The sequence below is a fragment of the Homo sapiens genome, chromosome 6 (genome assembly GCF_000001405.40).
Source record: "Homo sapiens chromosome 6, GRCh38.p14 Primary Assembly".
Taxonomy (NCBI): Eukaryota; Metazoa; Chordata; class Mammalia; order Primates; family Hominidae; genus Homo; species Homo sapiens.
Window position 1 is genome coordinate 147,527,472 of NC_000006.12, and position 23,872 is coordinate 147,551,343.

At 39.5% G+C, this 23,872-nt stretch overlaps 1 protein-coding gene across 2 annotated transcripts in view, besides 1 other annotated feature; it reads left to right on the forward strand.

The window, feature by feature from the left end:
- SAMD5 (sterile alpha motif domain containing 5) overlaps positions 1-23,872 on the forward strand; it is a 445,991-nt gene that overhangs the window by 18,782 nt on the left and 403,337 nt on the right. The gene's annotated exons all lie outside the window — the stretch shown is intronic.
- Positions 10,788-10,988: a silencer, noted in NCBI's record as "peak6202 fragment used in MPRA reporter construct". NCBI's record gives its function as "represses an SCP1 promoter by STARR-seq MPRAs in K562 erythroleukemia cells {active_cell/tissue: K562}" and the evidence as "EXISTENCE:reporter gene assay evidence [ECO:0000049][PMID:32103011]".

The following is a 23,872-nucleotide window of genomic DNA, read 5'->3' on the forward strand; positions in this document are numbered from 1 at the left end:
CTGCCGTATTCAGTCACCTCCCACCAGGCCCCACCTCCAGCACTGGGGATTACAATTCAACATGAGATTTGGGTGGGTACGCATATCCAAACCATATCATTTGGCCCCTGACCCCTCCCCAAATCTCATGTCCTTCTCACATTTCAAAATACAATCATGTCTTCCCAACAGTTCCCCAAAGTCTTAACTCATTCCAGCATTAACTGAAAGGTCCAAAGTCTCATCTCAGACAAGGCTAGTCCCTTTCACCTGTGAGCCTGTAAAATCAAAAACTAGTTAGTTACTTCCAAGAACTAATTTATAAAGAAAATAGGTGTTTTTAATAAAGAAAGGTTTTTTTTATAAAGAGGTAATTTATAAAGAAAAGAGGTTTAATTGGCTCACAGTTCTGCAGGCTATGCAAGAAGCATAGCACCATCTGCTTCTAGAGAGGCCTGAGGGAGATTTTACTCATGGTGGAAGGCAAAGCAGGAGCAGGCATCTTACATGGCAGGAACAGGAGCAAGAGAGCGCGTACGGGGAGGTGCCATACACTTTTAAACAACCAGATCTTGTGAGAACTCACTCACTGTACAAGGGGGGATGCTGCTACACCATTCATGATGACTCCAACCCCATGACCCAATCATCTCCCACCGGGCTCCACCTCCAACACTGGGGATTACAATTTGACATGAGATTCACTGGGGACACAGATCCAAACCGTATCACTCAGGAACCGGATAAACCAGCAAGGGTTAAGCATGGATTTAACTCCTGACTGTATTAGTTTGCTATGCCTGCCCTAATAAAATACCACAGACTGAGTGGCTTCAACAACAGAATTTTATTTTCTCACAGTTCTGAAGGCTTGAAGTCCAAGATCAAGTTGTGGACTTCTGAGGCCACGTGCCCCAGCTTGCAAATGGCCACCTTCTTACTGTGTCCTCACGTGGTCACCCCTCTGTCTGTATCTTGCCTGTGTCCTAATCTCCTCTTCTTATAAGGACACCAGTCATATTGTATTGGGACCCATCCTGTGACCTTATTTTACTGTAATCACCTCTTTAAAGGCCCTGTCTCCAAATACAGTCACATTCTGAGGGTCAGGACTTCAACATATTAACTTTAGGGGGATGCAGTTCACCCCATAAGACTGACCTGAGGAGTTAATCCAGGCTGTACCACCTGACTTAGAAAGTTATGTTGTCAGTGGTTAAGTTAATCCCAGTCACATGTGGTAGGAATTGGAGCTTGAATCTAACAGCTGATGAAACTAGGTGGTTGCCTAGTGAAAGTGGTCTCCTCTAAATAGTTCAGTTTCTACCACATGCAGGAGCAGTCACTATTGCAATAACTTTAAGTAGGCTTGGAAAAGATGAACATAAATCCACTGCACATTTGCATGGCATTTATTAGAGAATAACCCCCTAAACAAGGGCCAAACAGTACCATTGATGAAATAAATCTCAGACTCCCAATTCACATGGTCCTGACTCCATCACTTTTGACCTGTGTGACCTCAGCCAGATTGCTTCAGCTTTCCCTGCCACTGTTTCCTTATAGATAAATCTAACATAACAGTGTTTCCTCCTGCCTAGAACTATTCTGAGGATTAAGTCAGAAAATGTATGTAGAGCACTTAGCTTAGTGGTTGGTACATAGCAAGCACTTAGTAAACTATTATGTATTCAGTGTTAGCTTTTATTAAAGATGAAAATGGCAGATCTATTCACAGGCATGTTAGCAATAAAACTACTAGGGAAATATTAGTATTTGCATTTATATTTATGTAAATCAAATAAGTTTTCATAGGTTGGCAATCATGTTTTTAAAATATTATAAATATTGTTCTTCTAACCTTATCAATTAAGACATAGATTTTATTCTTATCTATACCCCAATATTATTCAAGAATAACTTTAATTGGTCTTAATCCAAGAGTTCGATGAATACCAATTTAAATGTAATTTAGGTGTATTTATCTTCTAGAATTGAACATTCTCTTCCGCTAATAGTATAAACTTTAATTGTCTTATAATGTATACACGCAGATGAACTATTCCTTTGTGTTGCTAAGATATATAGTATGATTGGACACTGTTATTGTTTCATTACAGACAACCTCATAGGAAGCCTTCCAGAAGGTTTGCATAAAGGAATATAGCACACATAGAAAATGCTGAATAAACTCATCAGTAATGATTTCCTTGGGTCATTTTTACTTTCTGCCTACTTCATCTCCACCTCTAAGTAAAGCATTTCATTTTATTAATGTTTTTCATACCACTTATTTTGCTAGTATTATACTCATTTTAGAACATTTTTAAATATCCAATAAAAATGAATTGGGCACTTACAAATATTTTGTACTATAAGACTGTTTTTGAATATTGTCATTAAAACAGTTATTTCAGGATTTCCCAGTTTATACAATGCATATGGCAACTGAGATACTTATGATCTGTATTATGTGTTTATAAGAATAAAGTTAGTAAAAAAGATTTATTCTAGAAATCAGTTGAGAAGACATTTAAAAATGTCATGTGCAGTTGGGATTCTTCAGCACCTTTTCTTATGGTGTTTCTTTTTTTATTTTCTTAAAGTATGTTTTTACCATATATGGGGACGATTTTTTCCCCCTGGTATTTAGGCTTTGCGTAAACTCCAAACAGAACTATCAAACAAACATATTAGAGGTTTCGCTGCAGAAAGGACAATATTTATTTTTTGTGTTTGAGATTTCTGTGCAGTAATAATTAACCTTAGATTTTGAACTATCATTGGAGGTGTTGTGGACAGGAAACACATTGATACTGGAGGAGAAATTATTTTTGGCAATACGGTAACTTACCACCTTGTGCACACAAGCACTGCCCATGTGCAGGGACGTTTTACTTGTCAAGATTTACCTCGGAAGAGCATGGTGTGTGCGCAGCACAAAGGCGGCAGGTGCGGATGGCTTTTTTCTCAGTGATAGGGCATGTCAATTCTCATTTCCTATATGCTGAGGAGCACAAAGGGAAGCAGCCGGCATTGCCCTCTGGGGCCAACCAGCTCCTTCCTTCCCCTCGCATCTTGGAGATATGCCATCCTGCCCAAGTACCTGCCTCCTGAGCCACAACTGGCTTGTGGTTTTGCTTTTTGTCTTTGTGGTCCTTGTTGAGGTTTGTGCACTTAATAAGCAGAACCACCAGTGAGAGGCAAACCTTGCAGACAGGGGAATTCCTGCAAAAGCTAAGAATCACCGACTGAAAAGAAGAGAGCAAAGGTGCAAATGGCTTGGGGTGGAGTTGAGGAATTGCGGGACCAGGCCGTGGTTCCCAAACACAGAGAGAAAAAGCACATTCAGGGTTCTGAGCCCCAGGCATTTTGCGTAATCAGCCTTCTTTGCTGTTTCTACTGTTTGATGTCTTAATCTGTTATTCTGGGACCTATAAAATTGTGGAACACAAATCCAAGTTAATCCAAGTTAACCTCTGAACTTGACCTACTTTCATTTAGAATTAGCCTTATTTAAAGTTGTAAACTACAATCATGACTGAAGCACACTAAATAGTGTTCTGTTTATAAAACATAAACCTTTTTCTCTTTACTGTAAATCCTTTCTGGCTGAAGAGGTCTATATAAGAAAACCAGGATATATTTTTCAGTTATCCCAGGACATTTAAACTTTTGAGGATTTAAAAATGATAGTCTTAAAAGTTTTTTTTTTTTTTTTGTCAATTTTAGAGATGATAGAGGTTCTTTAGGTTCTAAAAAATTACTTGATTAATTTTGGTTCTGATGTTTTAGAAAAATATTTTAATCCTGTTTATGTGAATAAAGTCCAGTCCACATGTGAAATTACACTGAAGCCATAATAATCAGTTATGATTATGTAAATTGTAGAACTGATTTTGGCTAAGCATTTCAAAATCCTGCCCAAAATTGCAGTATTTAATTGTAATCTTAGATTATTACCAGGATAATGGCTGTTTTAAATCTTCTTATTTCCATATAATGTGAAGGCAGGCCCATGCCTTACTCATCTCATCTGCCCCAGGCCCGGCATAATGCCTGGTACCTGGCGGGCACCCAGTGAGTGTTGCTCTGAATGGAATGCTCACTGGGACACATTCCTCCATTTTCATTTTGCCCATCAGTGCAAACAAACCTATCAACCAACATTCATGTCAGAACTTATTACTCATTATTGCAACTGTAGGATGGCTTCCCATATAAGAGCTTGGCCAAAATCAACAAAAAACATTCTGTGAGGATCAATTGGATATATGAAGTTGATAATGAGGGATATTATAGAGTTTATTTATTTTGTAAATTGTGTGCTACATAGCCTTATATTTTCGGTCTAGAAAAAATTAATTTTATTTAAAGATGAGTAATAAAACGACCCATAATAGAAATTTGTACGAGATTATATCATCAAACAGTTTTAAAAAGGAGGAAATAGGAGAATTATACTCAATATAATAATTTCTCTTGGAGAAGATAAACATACTGAAAAATTTTGTAGAAATTCATTGGAGTAATCATTTCTATAGAATAGGATCACAAAAGAGATAGTAAAACTAACTATAACGTAGACATTACCAGAAAACAAATGTTTGTCTCTTTTTTCATTGCTCTATTACTATCCCCTAGAACAGTGACTGGCACATAGAGTTTCATATATATATTTAAAATAATTAATTTTTATTTCAGTTTTGGAGGTACTAGTGTTTTTTGGTTACATAGATAAATTCTTAAGTGGTGATTTCTGAGATTTTGGTGCACCTGTCACCTGAGCAGTGCACACTGTACCCATTAGGTAGTCTTTTATCCCTCACTCACTCCCTCCCACCTTCCCCCACCTCCCTGAGTCCCCAAAGTCCATTATATCATTCTTATGCCTTTGCATCCTCATAGCTTAGCCCCCACTTATAAGTGAGAACATATGATATTTGGGTTTCCATTCCTGAGTTACTTCACTTGGAATAATGACCTCCAGCTCCATCCAAGTTGCTGCAAAAAACATTATTTCATTCATCTTTATGGCTGAGTAGTATTCCACATCCCACATTATCTTTATTCACTCATTGGTTATGAGCACTTAGGTTGGTTCCATATCTTTGCAATTGCAAATTGTGCTGCTATAAACAAGTTTGTGCATGTGTCTTTTTCATATAAAGACTTCTTTTCCTTTGGGTAGATACTCAGCAGTGAGATTACTGGATCAAATGGTAGTTCTACTTTTAGTTCTTTAAGGAATCTCCATGCTGTTTTTCATAGTTGTTGTACTAGTTTACATTCCCACCCACAGTATCAAAGTGTTCCCTTTTCACCACATCCACACCAACATCTACATAGCCTTTCTATCAGTACGGTTTATAACATAGTTATAATGAGGTTATGAATGGGTCCACGTGCATACATTTTTCCTCCCGGAGAGCCAGTTGTTAAACATTTAGCCCTGCACTACCGAGAGGGCATTTTTATTATGGTTACTTCTAGTTCAGATTTTGGCTAGTAAATGTTAACCAAAGTTCTTTTGAACTGAGATTCAGGGGAGTGGTGGTGTTTTACCTCCTGTGTTGTCCTCCCTGTACAGCAGAATGAAAGCAGTGCAGCCATGGTCAGGCCTTGGGTTGGGAAGGGGGCTGGCGGTGCCAGCAGAGGCCAGCACACCCAGAGCCCAGACCCAACATAGGGGCCCAGACCAATCCACCAAGCCCCGGGGCAGGTCCAGGGCTTGCAGGGCATGATGTTTATGAAATGTAAAGGTCTTCTTTAAAGCAAAAGAATGCAAAATTAGGTAAAGGGCCTGAGGCCTCAACTTCATGGTAGACCTACTGATCAAGCAGAGAGAGCATTTAAGAAACCAAGGCCGGGCGCAGTGGCTCCTGCCTGTAATTTCAGCTACTCCGGAGGCTGAGGCAGGAGAATGGCTTGAACCCGGGAGGTGGAGGTTGCTGTAAGCCGAGATCGCGCCATTGCACTCCAGCCTGGGCAACAAGAGCGAAATTCCATCTCAAAAAAAAAAAAAAAAAAGAAAGAAAGAAAAGAAACCAAGAAGCTTCTAGTCTGACATCAGGAAGGTAGAGGACAGGATTTGCAAGAGCATCAGTGGTGGCAGAAGACAGCGAGGAGAGAGTCACCAGGAGTCCAGCCGAATGAGGAGCCCTGTATTAGAGAAATAAAACCTAGAGGATGTGTGTCTCCCCTCTCCCCCTTCCTCCTCCTCCCCGCCTCCTCTCTTATTTTAACTGGTGACACCATTGTGGGGCAGACTGGCAGCTGCAGATCCAGGGATCCAAGAAAGCTGATGTTGCGGTCTTGAGATTGAGGGCAGTCTAAAAGCAGAATTCCTTTTTTCTTGGGGGACTTTAGTCTTTTTCTCTTAAGGCCACCAACTGATTGGATGATGCCTACCCACATTATGCAGGCTAATCTGCTTTATTCAGAATCTACTGATTTAAATGTTAATCAACATCTAAAAACTATTCACAACAATGTCTAGACTGATGTCTTACAAAAATAAACTGGGCACCACAGTCAAGCCAAGTCGACACTTAAAATTAACCATCAGAAGCCCCAGTGTAGATTCTCAGCCTAGCCCATAAGGAGGGCCAGGAGGGCAGGTCATCTCCTCCCACAGTGTGGACATGACCCGGGGTACCTAGAATAGAGGTGAAGGACTGCAAGAGGAATGTGGAGTTCAGAACCCTGTGATGCCATTAGCTAGTTTTGTTTTGGGCCTGAGGGCGGTGAGCCCTTTTACCTTTCCAGCCTGAGTTTTCTGCTGGGTGAAGTGAGAGCACTTGTAGAGACATGATGAGTCACGGGCGAAAGGACTGTGTTCTTTTTTCTCGTGGCACCCTTTTTGAAGCAAAATCTCATGTGAAATCCAAACCTCCCCAAACAGAGTTCAAAGTACCTTGTCTAAATGAATGGTTGGGGCAAGGACTGTAACCACCCAAGGGCTTTACCTTGCCTGCTGCCTAGACAGAGCCGATTCATCAAGACAGGGGAATTGCAATGGAGAAAGAGTAATTCACACAGAGCCGGCTGTGCGGGAGACCAGAGTTTTATTATTACTCAAGTCAGTCTCCCCGAGCATTCAGGGAGCAGAGTTTTTAAGGATAACTTGGTGGGAGGGGCGACGCCAGTGAGCCAGGAGTTAGGGTTAAAATCATAGGAAGTTGAAGCTGTCTTTTTGCGCTGAGTCAGTTCCTGGGTGGGGGCCGCAAGATCAGATGAGCCAGTTGATTGATCTGGTTGGTGCCAGCTGATCCATCAAGGGCAGGCAAAATATCTCAAGCACTGATCTTAGGAGCAGTTCAGGGAAGGTTAAAATCTTGGTCACCTCTATCTGCATGACTCCTAAACCATAATTTTTAATTTTGTGGCGGATGTTAGTCCTACAAAAGCAATCTAGTCCCCAGGCAAGAAGGAGAGGTCTGCTTTGGGACAGGGCTGTTACTGTCTTTGTTTAAACCATAAACTATAAACTAAGTTTCTCCCAAAGTTAGTTCAGCCTATGCCCAGGAATGAACAAGGACAGCTTGGAGGTTACAAGCAAGATGAAGTCAGTTAAGTTAGATCTCTTTCACTGTCTCAGTTATAATTTTGCAAAGGCGGTTTCAATCCCTTCCTTTGGGTTTTATAACATCTTAATTTTAAGGTATAGGCTATGAAGACAGGAAATGGCCATTGATCGCTTTGACTTCTTCCTGCTTACAGGGGACGTAGTGGGAATGGGAGTGAACCCCAAGGTGAGAAGCGTGTAACCGCTTTGTAATTGTGTGAGCGTGCTCATGCAGCCCTGGTTGAGCTTCCAAGGCTTGCAGGGCAAACATTAGTATTTTTATTTATAGTGTTACTACAGTGTTTAAGTGAACAGCCTACTATAAGGTAAATAACAAGTCCTAGGATGAGGAGTACAAATTTCGATTTTAAAAGCAAAGATTTGAAAACATTAGTTTGGGGATTTTAACCTGCACATAATTTAGAATTTAGTTTAAACTGCAGAAAAAGCCTTAAGAACAGCTAACAACAGTGTACTATAGTTTTTCTTTTGAAGCATAATTTTTTTCTTTAGTCCCCATTTTTATTAAAAACAAATCATGATAGAACTGATTTGTTTACAAAATAAACTTTAGTCTTTCTGTACTTGGCCTGATTATTTGCATGAAGTGTAGCAAGAATGATTATTTTTTACTTAGGCTTTTTAAATTGGCTTTGATAGAACTTTATTCTATGAAGAATTTTAGATAAGACTTTTTGAAAGTCGAGCCTAGCCATGGTTTGTATCCTTAAATATCTACGAGTTGGGCAAATTCCTTTTCTCTGGAGGTCCTAAGATAATCTGGGGTTCCTAGGCCTGTTAGAAAGTGATATTTTTTATTTACCACAGGTCAGGAACCTTGTACAGGGACTCTGTGTGGACAAGGTATGAGGCCAGATGCCGTAACGGGCTTTAATTGGCTCTGTAAGTCAACTTTGATTCTTTAAAGGAACCATGCCATTTCAGTCAAAGCCTTAATAAAATAACCAAGTTTTTTTTTTTTTTGAGACGGACTCTCGCTCTGTTGCCCAGGCTGGAGTGCAGTGGCACGATCTCGACTCACTGCAAGCTCCACCTCCCGGGTTCACGCCATTCTCCCGCCTCAGCCTCCCAAGTAGCTGGGACTCCAGGTGCCTGCCACCATGCCCAGCTGATTTTTTGTATTTTTAGTGCAGACGGGATTTCACCATATTAGCTAGGATGGTCTCAATCTCCTGACCTCGTGATCTGCCCTCCACAGCCTTCCAAAGTGCTGGAATTACAGGCGTGAGCCACTGCGTCCGGCCAAGAAAACAGATTTTTATTGTAATATGCAATTAACTATACTGCCATAAATTGGGAATACTTACAAATAGTTTTTAAATTCTGGAGAAATAAGGTAGAGAGGAACAAAATATGCTTTAAGTTTTGTTTACAGGAGCATATTTTACTTGTTAAAAGTTGCAAATAGCTTTAAAGAAATAAGTTTTTTTGACTTAGAAAACAAAAGGTTTAGCAATGTTTAATGCATTAGCTTTTTATGAGAGTCCAAGAAGTTTTTTTTTTAATTCCAGTAGCACAATTTTTAAAGTTATTTGAGAGCTGCACATAGAGCCTTATATTTGATTATAAACTGCCTTTTGAAAAGGACCAAAGCAAGACAAAATATCTGTGGATGACAAGTCTGTAGCTATTATTAAAGCTATAATGGACTAGGAATTTTGGTTACTTCTGTGGCATGCAACAATTTTACATAATTATAATTATTGATAATGTACACTAAATTATATTAACATTACAGAATTTTTCTATAATTTTGGAATATATATAATAACATATTTATACAAATACAGTCCAAAGAAAACCAAACACCATTCACTCTTTTATTTGAACAGGTTTTTTATTCTAATGTTATAATTTTCCAAAGTTATTTATCAGAAACCCACATTTAAGAGCACCTGTTAAATTTTATAGCTGATTATACAATTATTTTTTAAAGAGGACCAAAGTGAGACAATAACTGTCTGTGGATGACAGAAACATTTTAGAGCAGCCACAGTTAAAGTCACAATTGATGAGGAAATTTACCTCTGTGGCACATAGTCATTTAACATAATAATTGTAATTATTACTGATAACATATAGTAAGTCATATTAGAATTATAGCAGTTTTACATAATTTTGGAATATATACCAATAACACATTTACACAAGTATAGACCAAAGAACGCTAAACGCCGTTTTATATTTGACAATGCTTTCTGTTTGATTTTTGTACCAAATAAGCCAAATGCCATTTTTAGACTTTAGAGGACCTAATATCTAAAATATTAGGTTTGAAAGAGACATGATTTAAAATTTGATTTTGGAAAGTTTGTTAAATATTAAAGGTTTAAAACACTGGATATCACGAAATAGAATTCCAGGTCACCATAACCAAAGTTATTCATTTGGCCAAAATGGTAACTCCAAAAAAATTTTTAAAACAGAAAACCGGCTGGGCGCGGTGGCTCAAGCCTGTAATCCCAGCACTTTGGGAGGCCGAGGCGGGCGGAACACGAGGTCAGGAGATCGAGACTATCCTGGCTAACCCGGTGAAACCCCGTCTCTACTAAAAATACAAAAAAAAATTAGCGGGCGTGGTGGCGGGCACCTGTAGTCCCAGCTACTCGGGAGGCTGAGGCAGGAGAATGGCGGGTGAACCCGGGAGGCGGAGCTTGCAGTGAGCCGAGATCCACTCACTGCCCTCCAGCCTGGGTGACAGAGAGAGACTCCGTCTCAAAAAAAAAAAAAAGAGAAAACCTTTTCTCTGATAGAGGAGACTCAGCTTTCCAAACAGGACCCAATAGAGATAGCATGAGGCCAACTAAATTTGTCTCTTTTCTTTTCTCCCTTTTTTCCTTGCCATTTACCCAAAGGAGAAAATAAAACCCTTTTATTATTTTTTAACATTACATAAAAATCGTCTTTGAAAGAGAAAAGTAAATTTCATGTTTGTATTAGTGAATTTTTAATGTTAAGGCTAGTTTTTTAAATACAATTTTATATCTGTTCAGTTTTAATTAATTTGACCATAAGGTAAGATTTTTATAAACTTTTTAGAACCCTTTACAATTTTCCATCAAATAGTAGATTAATTTTTTAAGAAAACCCTGTTATTTGGACACATGGGCCCAGATTCTGGCCCCATAACAGTATCATTTTAGTGTTTTAACCTATGGAAAAAAGCTAAATAATTTTTTTTAAATCTTAGCCAACTTGTTTAGACCCACAGAATTTTTTAATAAGATAAACGCATTACAAACCCTTTCACTTTGCTTGAACTTCTAGTTTTGTTTCATTACTCTTTTAGGTTAAGACAATCTTTAAGACCCTCTGAACTAGTCAAAATTATATTCCCTCTAACAAAAGCCATATTCCTGTGCCTTTTTATAATCTTTTAACAAAAACACGTTTTACACACCTTGCATGTAAAACTGTTTCTCCAGTTGTCTTAATTGTATGTTATAATGTTAACTTTTAGCAACTTTTATTTTTAGTGAAAAACTTGATAAGTAAGTGATTTTTAACTATATACCGGGGTGGATCCTAGGACGTCAGACAGAAATGAAGATAAGGTTTGACTGTTTTCAGCATAGCTAGCGGGCATAGCTCTTCGTATGTCCCCAGGCCTTATTTATAATCTAATGCTCCAAAGTAGGTAAATCAAACAATTTTCAAAAGTTAAAGAAACACTTTGACCTTAAAGCATTTAGCAAATCGGATATCTGACCTTCATTTAGACCAAATGTTTACATTTTCAAGACATTTTATTTTACTAATAATTTTTAAAACTGTCCTTATTTCCAAAAGATGACCGAGGTCATGTGAACAAAACGGCATTAAAGTTTTTATTTTTCTGACAAAATATTTGACTTAAGTGCTTTTTTTAAGCCAATTAATCAGAGCTTTTTTATATATAAACATCACCCACACACACAACACATATACATACAGGCAGACAGAAGATTCGGCACTTAGAAGATTTTTCATTTGCCAGTTTTGTAATTGGATTACTGGCTTAAGGGTGGAGCGCTTGGAGCAACAGGGCTAGGAAAGCATGCATTTCTAGGGCCAAAGAAGCAGCAAGTAAGCAGCTGAAGGCAAAGACAGATCCCCAAAATTAGGCGTGCCATTTTATACTGGATCCTGGATCCCCAAAAGGAGGGAAATAACTCCAGGAGAAGACAGTGCGGTGCAGCTACTCTGCATTTCATTGCATGGCAACTCAAAGCCCATCAGCCCATTTTGTAATCAGCCCCTTCACCGGAGTCTCATCTCCCAGTCGCGGGCGAGGATGTTTCCTTGTCTTCCAGGTGGCTGAGAGCATGCTTCTCCGATCCAGGTGTGCAAAGAGTCAAGTATCCCTCCATAACTATTATTAGCAATCCCTTGAAGTATATTTCCTACCTAGTTATTACACACCAAAGTTCTTTCATAATGCGAAGTAATTTCTGATACCCCCAAAACTCAAAACCGTCAGATATCACAGTGCAAAACAGAACAGTGCCTTTGATTTTGAGAGGGATTTATCCGCTTTTAATTCCTGGGGTTTCATGAGGAAAACAGAGGTTTTTGTTTTTTTTCCCAAAATGGGGCCTGCGGTGCCTTCTGTTTTTCCCAATGAGTTCCAGGCTACCAGAAGTTATCTTAGGACCTCTTACATGTGTGTTAAGAGTGGCAAGATGAAAAAAAAAAAAATGGAGAAAAATAATTCAATTGACTGAGAAGAAAAAACTTTTTTCTAGAAAAACAAGTTCCAAGAAGAGAAAAACCTAAAGGCCTTTTAAATATATCTATAGTTTGTTTATCCACTTTTAATTAAGCTGGCTTTTAATCATAGTGTTTAAAAAAAAATCCTTAAAAATTTTTTTATTACCCAACTTTAGCCACGCCAAGCAGCCAATATTTTTGGCTTTTGAATTTTACCACAGGTAACGTCCCACATGAAATTAATCAGTTTTACTTTACTAATTTGCATAATTACTTTAATGATTTACATAATTAAGGTTATAACTTAACCATGGACACATAGGTGTCTTAAAGAGATGGTGAGCAGTTTCTTTTTTTTCTCTCTCTTTTTTTTCTTTTACAAGATTTAGAATGTCCCCCAGGGTAGTTTAGAGAAAGGAAAATTTAAGACTGCGAATCAGAAGCTAATAGGGGGGAAAACCTCAATAAATGGCAAAGTTACATAAGTAAAAAACCGGAAAGGAATCATTCCGGAAGCCAAGAATAGAACCCAGGCTGCTACTGTCAAAAAGCAAAGCCTTAGCTACTGAGTCGGAGAGCAGTGAGCAGTTTCTATTGCTCCTCCCAGAAGGAGCCTAGAGAAGCCAGTTTCAAGCTTGCAATGGCTTTTAACTGCTTAAGATAATTTTTAGGGCTATGACATGGACCTCAAAATTCCTGTCCTCTGGATGGCGGAAACCAAGAGAAAGTATCCCCACATAGTCACAAGGTTAAGCTCTTAAGGACACAGAACAAGACAGAGGAATTTCATACAGTATTTATTGGTTTCAGAGACCTGTAGCAAAGTTTGTAACTGACCAGCCTGCTGCAAGCTTATGGGGGTCTTAAACCCACATTCTATCCTGTGATACTCCTTTCTCCATTATAGAACACAGAAAAGCAAATTCTTAGCACAAAGTACACCAGATTTGCTACCGCCTAAGACGAGTCTCACAAATCCTTTTTCTGTTCATCAAACCCTTGCAGAGAGACAAGTAGTGACATTTACTGTTTACCCAGACAGAGAGAGAGGGGGGGGGTCCAGAAACTTGGCTGGTAGGAATTTCTTACCCTTTTTTGCCAGCATACCAGGTTTCCGGGCTCCCTTTCTCTGCAGCTTCCTGAAGAATGGAGTGGCTTCTGATGACCCTGCTCACCGCACCATAGCTGTGGGGTTCAAGCCACGCGTTTTTTTTTTTTTTTTTTTTTTTTTTTGAGAAGGAGTCTTCTCAAAACTTCTGTCACCCAGGTTGGAGTGTGGTGGCACAATCTCAGCGCACTGCAACCTCCGCCTCCTGGGTTCAAGCGATTCTCCTGCCTCAGCCTCCTGAGTAGCTGGGATTACAGGTGTCCACCACCACGCCTGGATAATATTTGTATTTTTAGTAGAGACAGGGTTTCACCATGTTGGCCAGGCTGGTTTCGAACTACTGACCTCAAGTGATCCGCCAGCCTCAGTCCCCCAAAGAGCTGGGATTACAGGCGTAAGCCACGACACCAGGCCCTTCAAGCCACTTTACCAGAGACAATCACCCTTTCCTGTTTTATGGAACCATATGCAAGATTCTTAATTTGCAAGATGCTGCCCAGTGGGCTGCAGGGGAGATCAAATTAACATTTTCCATTCCAGCAAAACACACATAACAAAACAAACATTAGTCACCTTGTTCGGCACCAAGTATTAACCTGGCAAAGCTCAAACTTTTTCCCGTTGGTCCCTGTTGTCTTTGATTCATTCCAGGTGGGAAGGGACGACCTCCAAACGGTAATTCACAATGGGGTCTCTGGGCAAGGCAAAGAGCAGATAGTTACCCAGAGAGACAGGCCTGTTGAGCCTTCTTTAGGACTCATTGAATGTGACCAGACAAATAAGGAGGGTTCTCTGAGTTAGCCATGCTGGATTTCCATCAGCAACCCCTTCTGAGATCCCTTCCACATATACAAACACACACAAAGACGAGACAGACAGAAGGCCTTCCAAATCAGATCCCTAACCAAGAACTCCAAGAGTATCCCTTCCAAATGATTGTCCTATTCTCCGTCTGAGAAACCTCCTCAAAATCTTCCTGGTTGAGAAGTCTCCCAAACCAGGACTCTTCCTACTACTTAGAAAGAGCCAACCAAGATCCCCCAGGAGCTGAACAGACACCCCACAATGGGGCTATAGACAGACACCCCATAGTGGAGCTACAAAGAGACACCCTGCAGTGAGGCTACAAACACCCCACCATAGGGCTACAGAACCAGTTTGGAGAAGGAAGGAGGCATTGGCAGTGCCTAGGATACTCACCAATCCAGACACCCCGCAATGGGGCTACAGAAAGACACCCACCATGGGGCTACAGACAGATACCCTGTCATAGGGCTACAGTTAAGGGACGTCTTCCCAGGACTATTTCTCCATTGCAATTAAATCCATGCATATTGGGTCGGCAGCACCCTGCCAGTAGAGAGAGTACCAGAGTCCCCAGTCCCCAGTCCCCAGAACTAGGTGGCCGCTTGGGCTGGCTTCTGGATCCATTGCTGGAGGGGAGCCACTGAACCAGGGGCAGGTAGCCACAAGGACAATCCCGGACAAGCCCCCAAATTTGTAACCACCCAAGGGGTTCACCTTGCGCACTACCTGGACAGAGCCGATTCAACAAGACAGGGGAATTGCAATGGAGAAAGAGTAATTCACACAGAGCCGTCTGTGTGGGAGACTGGAGTTTTATTGTTACTCCAATCAGTCTCCCTGAGCATTCAGGAATCAGAGTTTTTAAGGATAACTTGGTGGGTGGGGGGAAGCCAGTGAGCCAGGAGTGTTGATTGGTCAGGGATGAAATCATAGGAAGTTGAAGCTGTCTTTTTGCGCTGAGTCAGTTCCTGGGTGGGGGCCGCAAGATCAGATGAGCCAGTTGATTGATCTGGTTGGTGCCAGCTGATCCGTCAAGGGCAGGGTCTGCAAAATATCTCAAGCACTGATCTTAGGAGCAGTTTAGAGAGGGTTAAAATTTTGTAGCCTCAAACTGCATAACTCCTAAACCATAATTTTTAATTTGGTCGCTAACATTAGTCCTACAGAAGCAATCTAGTCCCCAGGCATGAAGGAGGTCTGCTTGGGAAAGGGCTGTTACTGTCTTTGTTTAAACTATAAACTATAAACTAAGTTTCTCCAAAAGTTAGTTCAGCCCACACCCAGGAATAAACAAGGACAGCTTAAAGGTTAAAAGCAAGATAAAAGCAGTTAAGTTAAATCTCTTTCACTATCTCAGTTATAATTTTGCAAAGACGGTTTCAGGATTGGTCACCAGCTCCCCTGGGCAGGCCTGGCAACTGTGAGGAATGTGACTTGAAAACCACTGATTGGCATCATTCTAACCCCGCTCCCCTATCCTAGTTTTTTTAAGCCACTGAACCTATATCTGTCCCAGGATCAAAGAATGACAAAATTAAGAGCGGAAGTCCTGTTCCTTCTAACTGCAAAATTCTTTTTCTTGATGGAAAGATGTTTATTTTATCCCTGTTTACATTAATTTGCCTAAACACACATGTTCTGATACCTAGAAACAACTTTGCAATTTAAAAACAGAGCATTTTGTTAGATCTCTCATTTCTTCCATTGCTAGAGAAAGTTCTAATGAGAGTGAGGGCAGAATTATAGAACTAAGTTGAACCTACATGACAGAAAATTTAAATTAAAAACAATTTACTATCAGAGTCTTCATATTGGTGTTTGTGTGTTTGATTTATTTGCTTGACACCTACCCACATTATGCAGGATATACTGAATTGGTTATAATTACCATAATTTATAATATTTAGGTATGTATACTTGAGAAAGGATACCTTGTTCTGAAATTATGCAAGGGCTAGGTATTGAGAATTATGGACAATTTTCTTTACTACTGCAACTCTAAGATATGGTCTCTAAGGATGAACTTACAGTTGACAAAGACAAATCTGTGAAATATTAAATGCATAAGTTAAGTGACAGCTTGAGGCAGCAAATATGGGAAATCAGGATGGTTATTAAATGAATTAGGGGTTCGGAATAGGGAAAATGAATTCTTCAGGATGAGGTGATCTGGGCTTGCGGTCAGGTCTAGATATGAGTTGGGAGAAGCTTTGGAGGCATCTCAGGAGAGTGTAAAAGACAAGCAGACGTGTAGCGTGGGAAAGGAACGTTTAAGGGAGAGCAAGCTCCTCTCTTTTAAAGGTAATGAGAAAGGTATGTTTAAAGTTAAGATACAAGAGATTATGGCCCTTAACAGTATACTGTGAATAGAAAATTATAATGCAGATAATTTATAAAATACTTCCTAAGGTGGCATAACATTTTTATAAGAAAATTGTTGGGCTTGCAGGGCTGTAACCCCCATTGTGGACAACAGACAAGTTAATGTCAAAATATAGAAGATTTGATTTTAGTGAGCTGACTTGCATTGCATGATCAGCTGTATGATGTTAATAGTAAATAGTATATTTAGATATGTCCATGTGAATTCCAGTATTTATGGAATATTTATCTGAAATTCTGAAAGATACACTATCTTAGATTTTCCCACATAACCAATCATTCTTCCCAGAGTAACATTTATATAAATTTATATGTGTAGCAAAACAACATGACTTATAGTTATCTAGAGTATCCCTCATCAGAGGAGTATTAAGGGTTTTTAAGAAGTGATTATTAAGTTATAAGCACTTAAACTTATATAGAAAGTTATATTCAGAGTATGGCCATCTCTCAGAATGGCTTGGTGGATTATCCTGTATTCATTTCTTATATTCACACAAATAAAACTGTTGTCATAGTGTCCTTGTTACCCTTTTGCAAATTTAGCGACATACCTTTGCCATTTTTAGTAAGGAGATTCATTTATGCTGACATTGCAGGGTCTGTTGTAGTCAGCTCTGATGGGTGGAGGTTTTGCAGTGGGATGGGAAGTGATGTACTGCTTTATATCCTTTTGTTGATGGTATATTCTATATGATTTTTACTCTATTTTTTGCATATCATTATTTGCTGTAGAAATGTAAAATCCTGAGCGAATAAGAAACAATTCACATAATTTTGTTTCAGAATGGACCACCAAATTTGGCAGTGTAAAATGCTGTTACTTATTGCTGTAGACAAAATGAACACTTTCAAAGTTAATTCTGCATAGCTGAAATTCTTTGACAACAAAATAAATTCTGGATACTAGTAGAAAATTTATGGATTTCAATTAGAGTTTGTAGTGTGTCATAATTCCAGTTTTATATTCCATGCAGTTCAGTTTTGGGTTTTTAATGGGGCCAGTGCAGTAATAATAAAAATGATTCAAAATGCACCCAGTAATTACAGAGATTTGCTGTTGCGTTTGCATTAAAAATGATGATGATTTATGCTCGGTGAAATTGTGGTCTGTGGCTCTATTTAGGGCATTCTTGCTATTAAGCTGCTTATTAGTTATGGTCAGTGATTTAAAGCTTAAGACCTACATTAGAGGACTGTAAAATTATTTATTCTTTAATAGATAATAGTAAATTTGAAGCAGACATTAGATTAATTATAATCTTGTACATTAACGAATACGGATTAGTCCTTTGTCTCTTTTTAGGTCTTTTGAAATTCAAGTAAATGGAAAATGAGTTGATTGAGTTAGAGAGTTCAGTGAATTTACTTTTGCCTCCTGGTTTGTAAATAGTTAACACCTTTTCCAAATTTCTCATTGTGGGTCCTTCTCCACACTAAACAAATGCAAGTTCTTGCAATAACTTGTCTTTGTTCCATGTTGACATTCCTTAAATTAGCTGAAAAGATCTGAGAGGGAGGCTTTTTGCCTGATTTGGGGGCAGGGGCTGTGGGGGATGGAAATGTAGTTAAGGATAAGCGGACTTTAATTTGGCATTGCAGAAGGGAGTTTGTCATTATTCCTATTACTAGTAATTATGTATAAATTTACATATATGTGTGTATATATTTATACTCAGGTGCACACAAGTACAAATGTGTGCATGTGTGTGTGTATATATAAAACACAGACACACACATATATACATACATAAATCAGGTTATATACCTTTCTTTATATTTTATGTAAGACAGAAATCATCTAATATAAACATCAAAGTGTATTAGGATAGGAATTTCTTGTAACATTAATTAAATTTGATATTCAAATTCCTGTGTAATGCTTGGGTGTTATGCTAAAACAAGATAAATATCTAAGAGAAAGAGACTGCATATAAAGCTGTTAAATCAAATGAGAAAATATGTGGGTATTATTCAGGATAAGGTAGGGTATGGTTTAATAAGAAAATATCTGCCCCACCTCCAACCCCCAAATTCGAAACCTTAACATAATAAATGCTTATTTCTGGCTCCTGCGAAGTCCTTAGGGTCTGTGGAGGCTTTCTTCCATTCAGTGACTCAGGGGTCCAAGCTCCCTCCATCTGGTGGCCTATCATCTTAAAACATGACCTCTTCAGGGACAAGTGAAGACTGGCGCAGGATGATTTTTAAGACTGAGGCCTGGGCTGGGCGCGGTGGCTCACGCCTGTAATCCCAGCACTTTGGGAGGCCAAGGCGGGTGGATCACCTGAGGTTGGGAGTTCGGGACCAGCCTGACCAACGTGGAGAAATCCCATCTCTACTAAAAATACAAAAATTTACCTGGTGTGGTGGCGCATGCCTGTAATCTCAGCTACTTGGGAGGCTGAGGCAGGAGAATCTCTTGAACCCAGGAGGTGGAGTTTGCGGTGAGCCAGGGTCGCGCCACTGCACTCCAGCCTGGGCAACAAGAGCGAAACTCTGTCTCAAAAAAAAAAAAATAGAGTGAGGCCTGGAAGTGACTTCTGTTATTTCTGCTTACATCCCATTGACCAGAGCTCCATCAAGTGGCCCCAACCTATCTGTAAGAGACCCTGGGAACTAAAGCCTTTTTTGTGTGTGTGCTAAGAAAGAGGAAAATCAAATGGCATTAGATGAATACAGAGTTTTGTCTGCTGTAGTATGTAAAATGCTTCTGAACTCTCTGAATATAATCATGTGAATTTACAATCAGAAAAATGCCAAAAATGCATGGCATCTTTTAAAAAATTTCTTGATATCCCCATTCCCTTCTGCCCTATGTGCTAAGAATTGGAAAGAAAATTAGCTGGTTGTATCTAGATTCCTATCACTAGTGGCTTGGTACACTGTAGTTTATTCTAGTTACTCTGCCTCTTTCTTTCTTTAGAGTAGTTGATGGCCTCACCTGAGAATAACACCATACAGCTGGGCAGCGTTGGCGTTTCCCATTAGTCGGTCCCACTTTGGGTCCTGCCTTTCCATCACTGACCTCCTCCCTCTTTCCCCTGTTGAATGCTCTTTTCTTTTGTGAGAATTAATGGTGCACATTCTGAAGGTGGGAAAGAGTCATTATTTAGCTGTTTAACAGAACACCTCGGTTGATAAATTTAGTTACATGTTGCATTAGTTTTCTATTGCTGCATAATAAATAGCCACAAACTTAGCTGCTAAAAATAACATCCATTTATTATCTCATAGTTCTGTGGGTGAGAATTCTGGGCAAGCCTCAAGCTTGACTGGATTCTCTGCTCAGAGTTGCAGAAAGCCAAAATTAAGGTATCAGCCAGCCGGGGCTCCTATCTGGAGGTTCTGGGGGCAGAATCCACTTCCAAGCTCATTTAGTTTGTTGGGAGAATTCCTTGCAGCTACAGACAGGAGGTTCCCGTTTGCTTTGCTGGCTGTTAGCCATGGTCCACTCTCTTGAGCTGGAGGCTGCCCTCACTTCTTTTCATGTGGCGCCTTCCATCTTCAAACCAGCAATGGTGGGTTGGATCTTCGCAGACTTTTAATTTCTCTGACTTATTATTTTCCAGCCAGAGAAACACTATGACTTTAAAGGGCTCAAGGTATTAGATTAGACCAACCCGAGAGAATAATCTCCCTTTTGTCATGTACTGTAAGCTCATCGTGGGAGCGCCATCTATCATATATTCACAGGCTCCACCCACACTCGAAACGGAGGGGATTACACAAGAAGAGGAATCACTGGGGTCATTCTTAGAAATCCGTTGACTGCGTTTATTTCTGCCCAAGAAATATAGCTTAGGAAGGAAGTTTTTTCATGGAACCTGTAGTTTTGCCCAAATGCAGAATTGAAAAGTAAGAAATCTTTCTTCAACAAGAATTAGATACTGATAGGGGAAGAGGAGGTGGCTGAAGCTGGTGGGGAGAGAATATGAATTTTCTTTTAAAGGCTTCTTGATATACAGAAAATACTTAAAGAGCAACTTAATTTAGGTAATGGGCATATAGAATAGTTTACTTCCTTGATTTTCAAATTAAGAACAGCACTCATAAAATCTCATTTAATAAGTTCAACAAGAAAAAATATAATAATAGCCAATTAAGAGAAAGAGATTTAGCGGGGAGTGGGAAGTAGAGAGACAGCACAGAGGGTAAAAGCCATTCAGAGATCTTAATAGATGAACAGTATCCCTTAGAGGATAATGTTGCTAACTATTATTAAAAATCAGGTTGTGATTTTATATGAATGGTTTAATAGTTTTTGTACATGTTGCCTCCTCAGAGAGACCATCATTTCGGTACCCCACCACTCATTATCATATCACTCTCTTACTGTCTTTCTAGAACGTGGCAGAATTTGAAATTGTCTATGTTACATGTCTAATTGTTTATTCTCTGCTTCCCAATTTGAATACAGAATTATGTGTTCCCTGTTAACTTTACCCCAGAATGGGAAATGCAGAGAACCAAGTCCTAGTCCCAGGTCTGTGACTAACTTGCTTAGAAGTCAATTCGTTTGTGATTCTGAGAACAGAACTCATCTCAACATCTATCAAATGAAGAATGTACAGTAGAGGAATTAGATGATTTCAAATGCTTCTCCCAAAGGTATCCTCTATGCCTTTTTTCCCTTTGTTTCCAAAATGATCTGCTTTCTTGATTAGGACTTAATATTTCTAAAAATATTGGGTGGTCATGTGCTGAAAGAAAAGATGGTGCTGTGAAGGAATTTGCACAGGGTTCCCTGAAGTGAATTGTTTCTCTTACCCTTGGCTTTCTCCCCATGAAAATGAAGGCAGAGTATGACAGATTGTATTTCTCCTCTTGAAATCACCTTTCTTGCATTGCCCCTCCCTGCAGGAGTATTATGTGTCTTAACCCTTTGAACTCTGACATGCTTTGGTTAATGAAAGGTGAGTAGAAGTGATGTGGCTCTCTTCCAAGCAGAAGCTTTACAAAACTGTGCATGGTTCACAAATTAAATCTTTTCCCTTAGTCACAATGACTGGCAGTGATCCTGGAGTGAAGAAAATGGCACAGAACCATAGCTGACCCATACTGGATTTGTAGCATGAGTGAAAAATAAAACTTCATTGTTGAAAGCCATTGAAACTGTGAGGTCATTTGTTACTGAAGCAGAACTGGCCCATCCTGACTGATAAACGCCTGATACTTGCGTGCACCAGTTCAAATCATCTTGGCCTGAATTCCTATTGCAGCCACGGTTGAGCAAACAGCTCTGCATGAGTTTCAACCAGCATCACATAGGTGCACCCTAGCAGCTCATTGGTTTAGGCCTGTGCTTCTTGCTTTCAGTCCAGAGGTTCCTCTAACTTTGTCATGTACTCCTGTGGGAACTGACTGGCACTCATACATGTATGAACAGGAAGTGCAAGGATATTAACATCCATGAGACAAACCTTGACAAATGAGTAATGGAAGGTGATGGATAAATGTTTCTCTCCTTGTTCTTTTTTCATGCACAGCTCTGAGATGTATTTCCTAAGGCTCCTGGAAAGGTTTTCCATAATAGAGCAACACATCACCAAGCAGCCAACCCCTTCACACATCGCGTCGGTTTTGGGCTTTCCTTCTTTGTTTCACTCACTCCTTCCTTTTACTCTCTAGGATCACATTCCCAAATAAACTATCTACATATGAGCCTTTGCCTCATGTTTTGTTTACTGGGAGAACATGACTCATCACCAGTTAGATTCTCTTTGAATTGAACCAACTTGAACATTATCCACCACCGGAGCAAATTATGTACTTCTATAGCATGGAGGATTATACTGTACATTTATAGTAACTTGCAGAACACAAACAGTTTGCTACTTAGACTGGAAGTTATTGTTAGATTTGCTGATTTAAAAATAAGTTCTCCCTTCCCCCATTAATCCTCTATCAACCGGCTATTATTAAAAAGTCAAAAATAGGCCATACGAGATGGCTCATGCCTGTAATCCCCACACTGGGGGAGGCTAAGGCAGGAGGATCACTTGGGCCCAGGATTTTGAGACTAGCCTGGGCAACATAGCAAGACCTTTGTCTCTAAAAAAATAAAAACATTAGATGGGCATGGTGGCCCACTTGTAGTTTGAGCTACTTGGGAGGCTGAAGAAAAAGGATTGCTTGAGCCCAGGAGTTTGAGGTTACAGTGAGCCATGATCACTGCACTAGAGCCGGGGCAACAGAATGAGACTCTTGTCTCTCTTAAAACAAAAAGGTCAAAAAATAGCATGTTGAAGGGAAAGGGAACATTTATACTCTGTTGGTGGGAATGTAAATTAGTACAATCTCTATGGAAAACAGTACAGAGATTTCTTAAATAATTAAAAATAGAACTACCATTTGATCCAGCAATCCTGCTACTGGATATTTACCCAAAGGAAAAGAAATTATTATATTAAAAGATACCTGAACTCATATGTTTATCACAGCACTATTCGCAATAGCAAAGATATGGAATCAACCTAAGTATCCATCAATGGATGACTAGATTAAAAAAATGTGGTATATATACACAATGGAATACCATTCGGCCATATAAAAGAGTGAAATTATGTCTTTTGCAGCAATATAGATGGAACTGGAGGCCATTATGTTAAGTTAAACTATTCAGAAACAGAAAGTCAAAACCAGCATGTTCTCACTTTTGAGGTGAGGGCTAAAGAATGTGTACAATAGACCTAGAATGTGGAATAACAGACATTGGAGACTCAGAAGGGTGTGAGGTGGGCAGAGGTGAGGGATGAGAAATTACTTAATGGGAACAATGTACATTATTGGGGTCACCGTTAGACTAAAAATGCCCAGACTTGACTGCTACTCAATATATCCGTGTAACAAAACTGCACTTATACCTCTTATATTTATATATATATATAAACCCTCCCATTATTAGTTCTCAGTCCATCCTGGTGCCATAACACACAGATTTTCGTTGTGAGGCATCCATGTTTTTTGACATTCAGTGATTGAATAGCATGTTGTTAGACACAAATTTCAAATGTGGAAGCACAGTAGAGGGGTTGGGATAGCTGTCATTCTGTAATACCTTGCTGCCCTTCCACTCGAAGTTCTCAGACCACTGACAGCGCCCTGGGGCACAGTTCAGTTGTTAGGTGCCAGGAGAAATACTGTTTCATTTAGGAATTGAATTGGCCAAATTCTCATAGTGTCTAGGCTCTGTTCCCTTTTTGCCTCCTCATCAGTCTATTCCCTAAAAATCATAAAATTACAGCATGATAGAACCGGGTCTTAAAATAATCTAGCTAACTCCCTTATTTCATAGGTCAAAAAACAAGAGGTTAAGG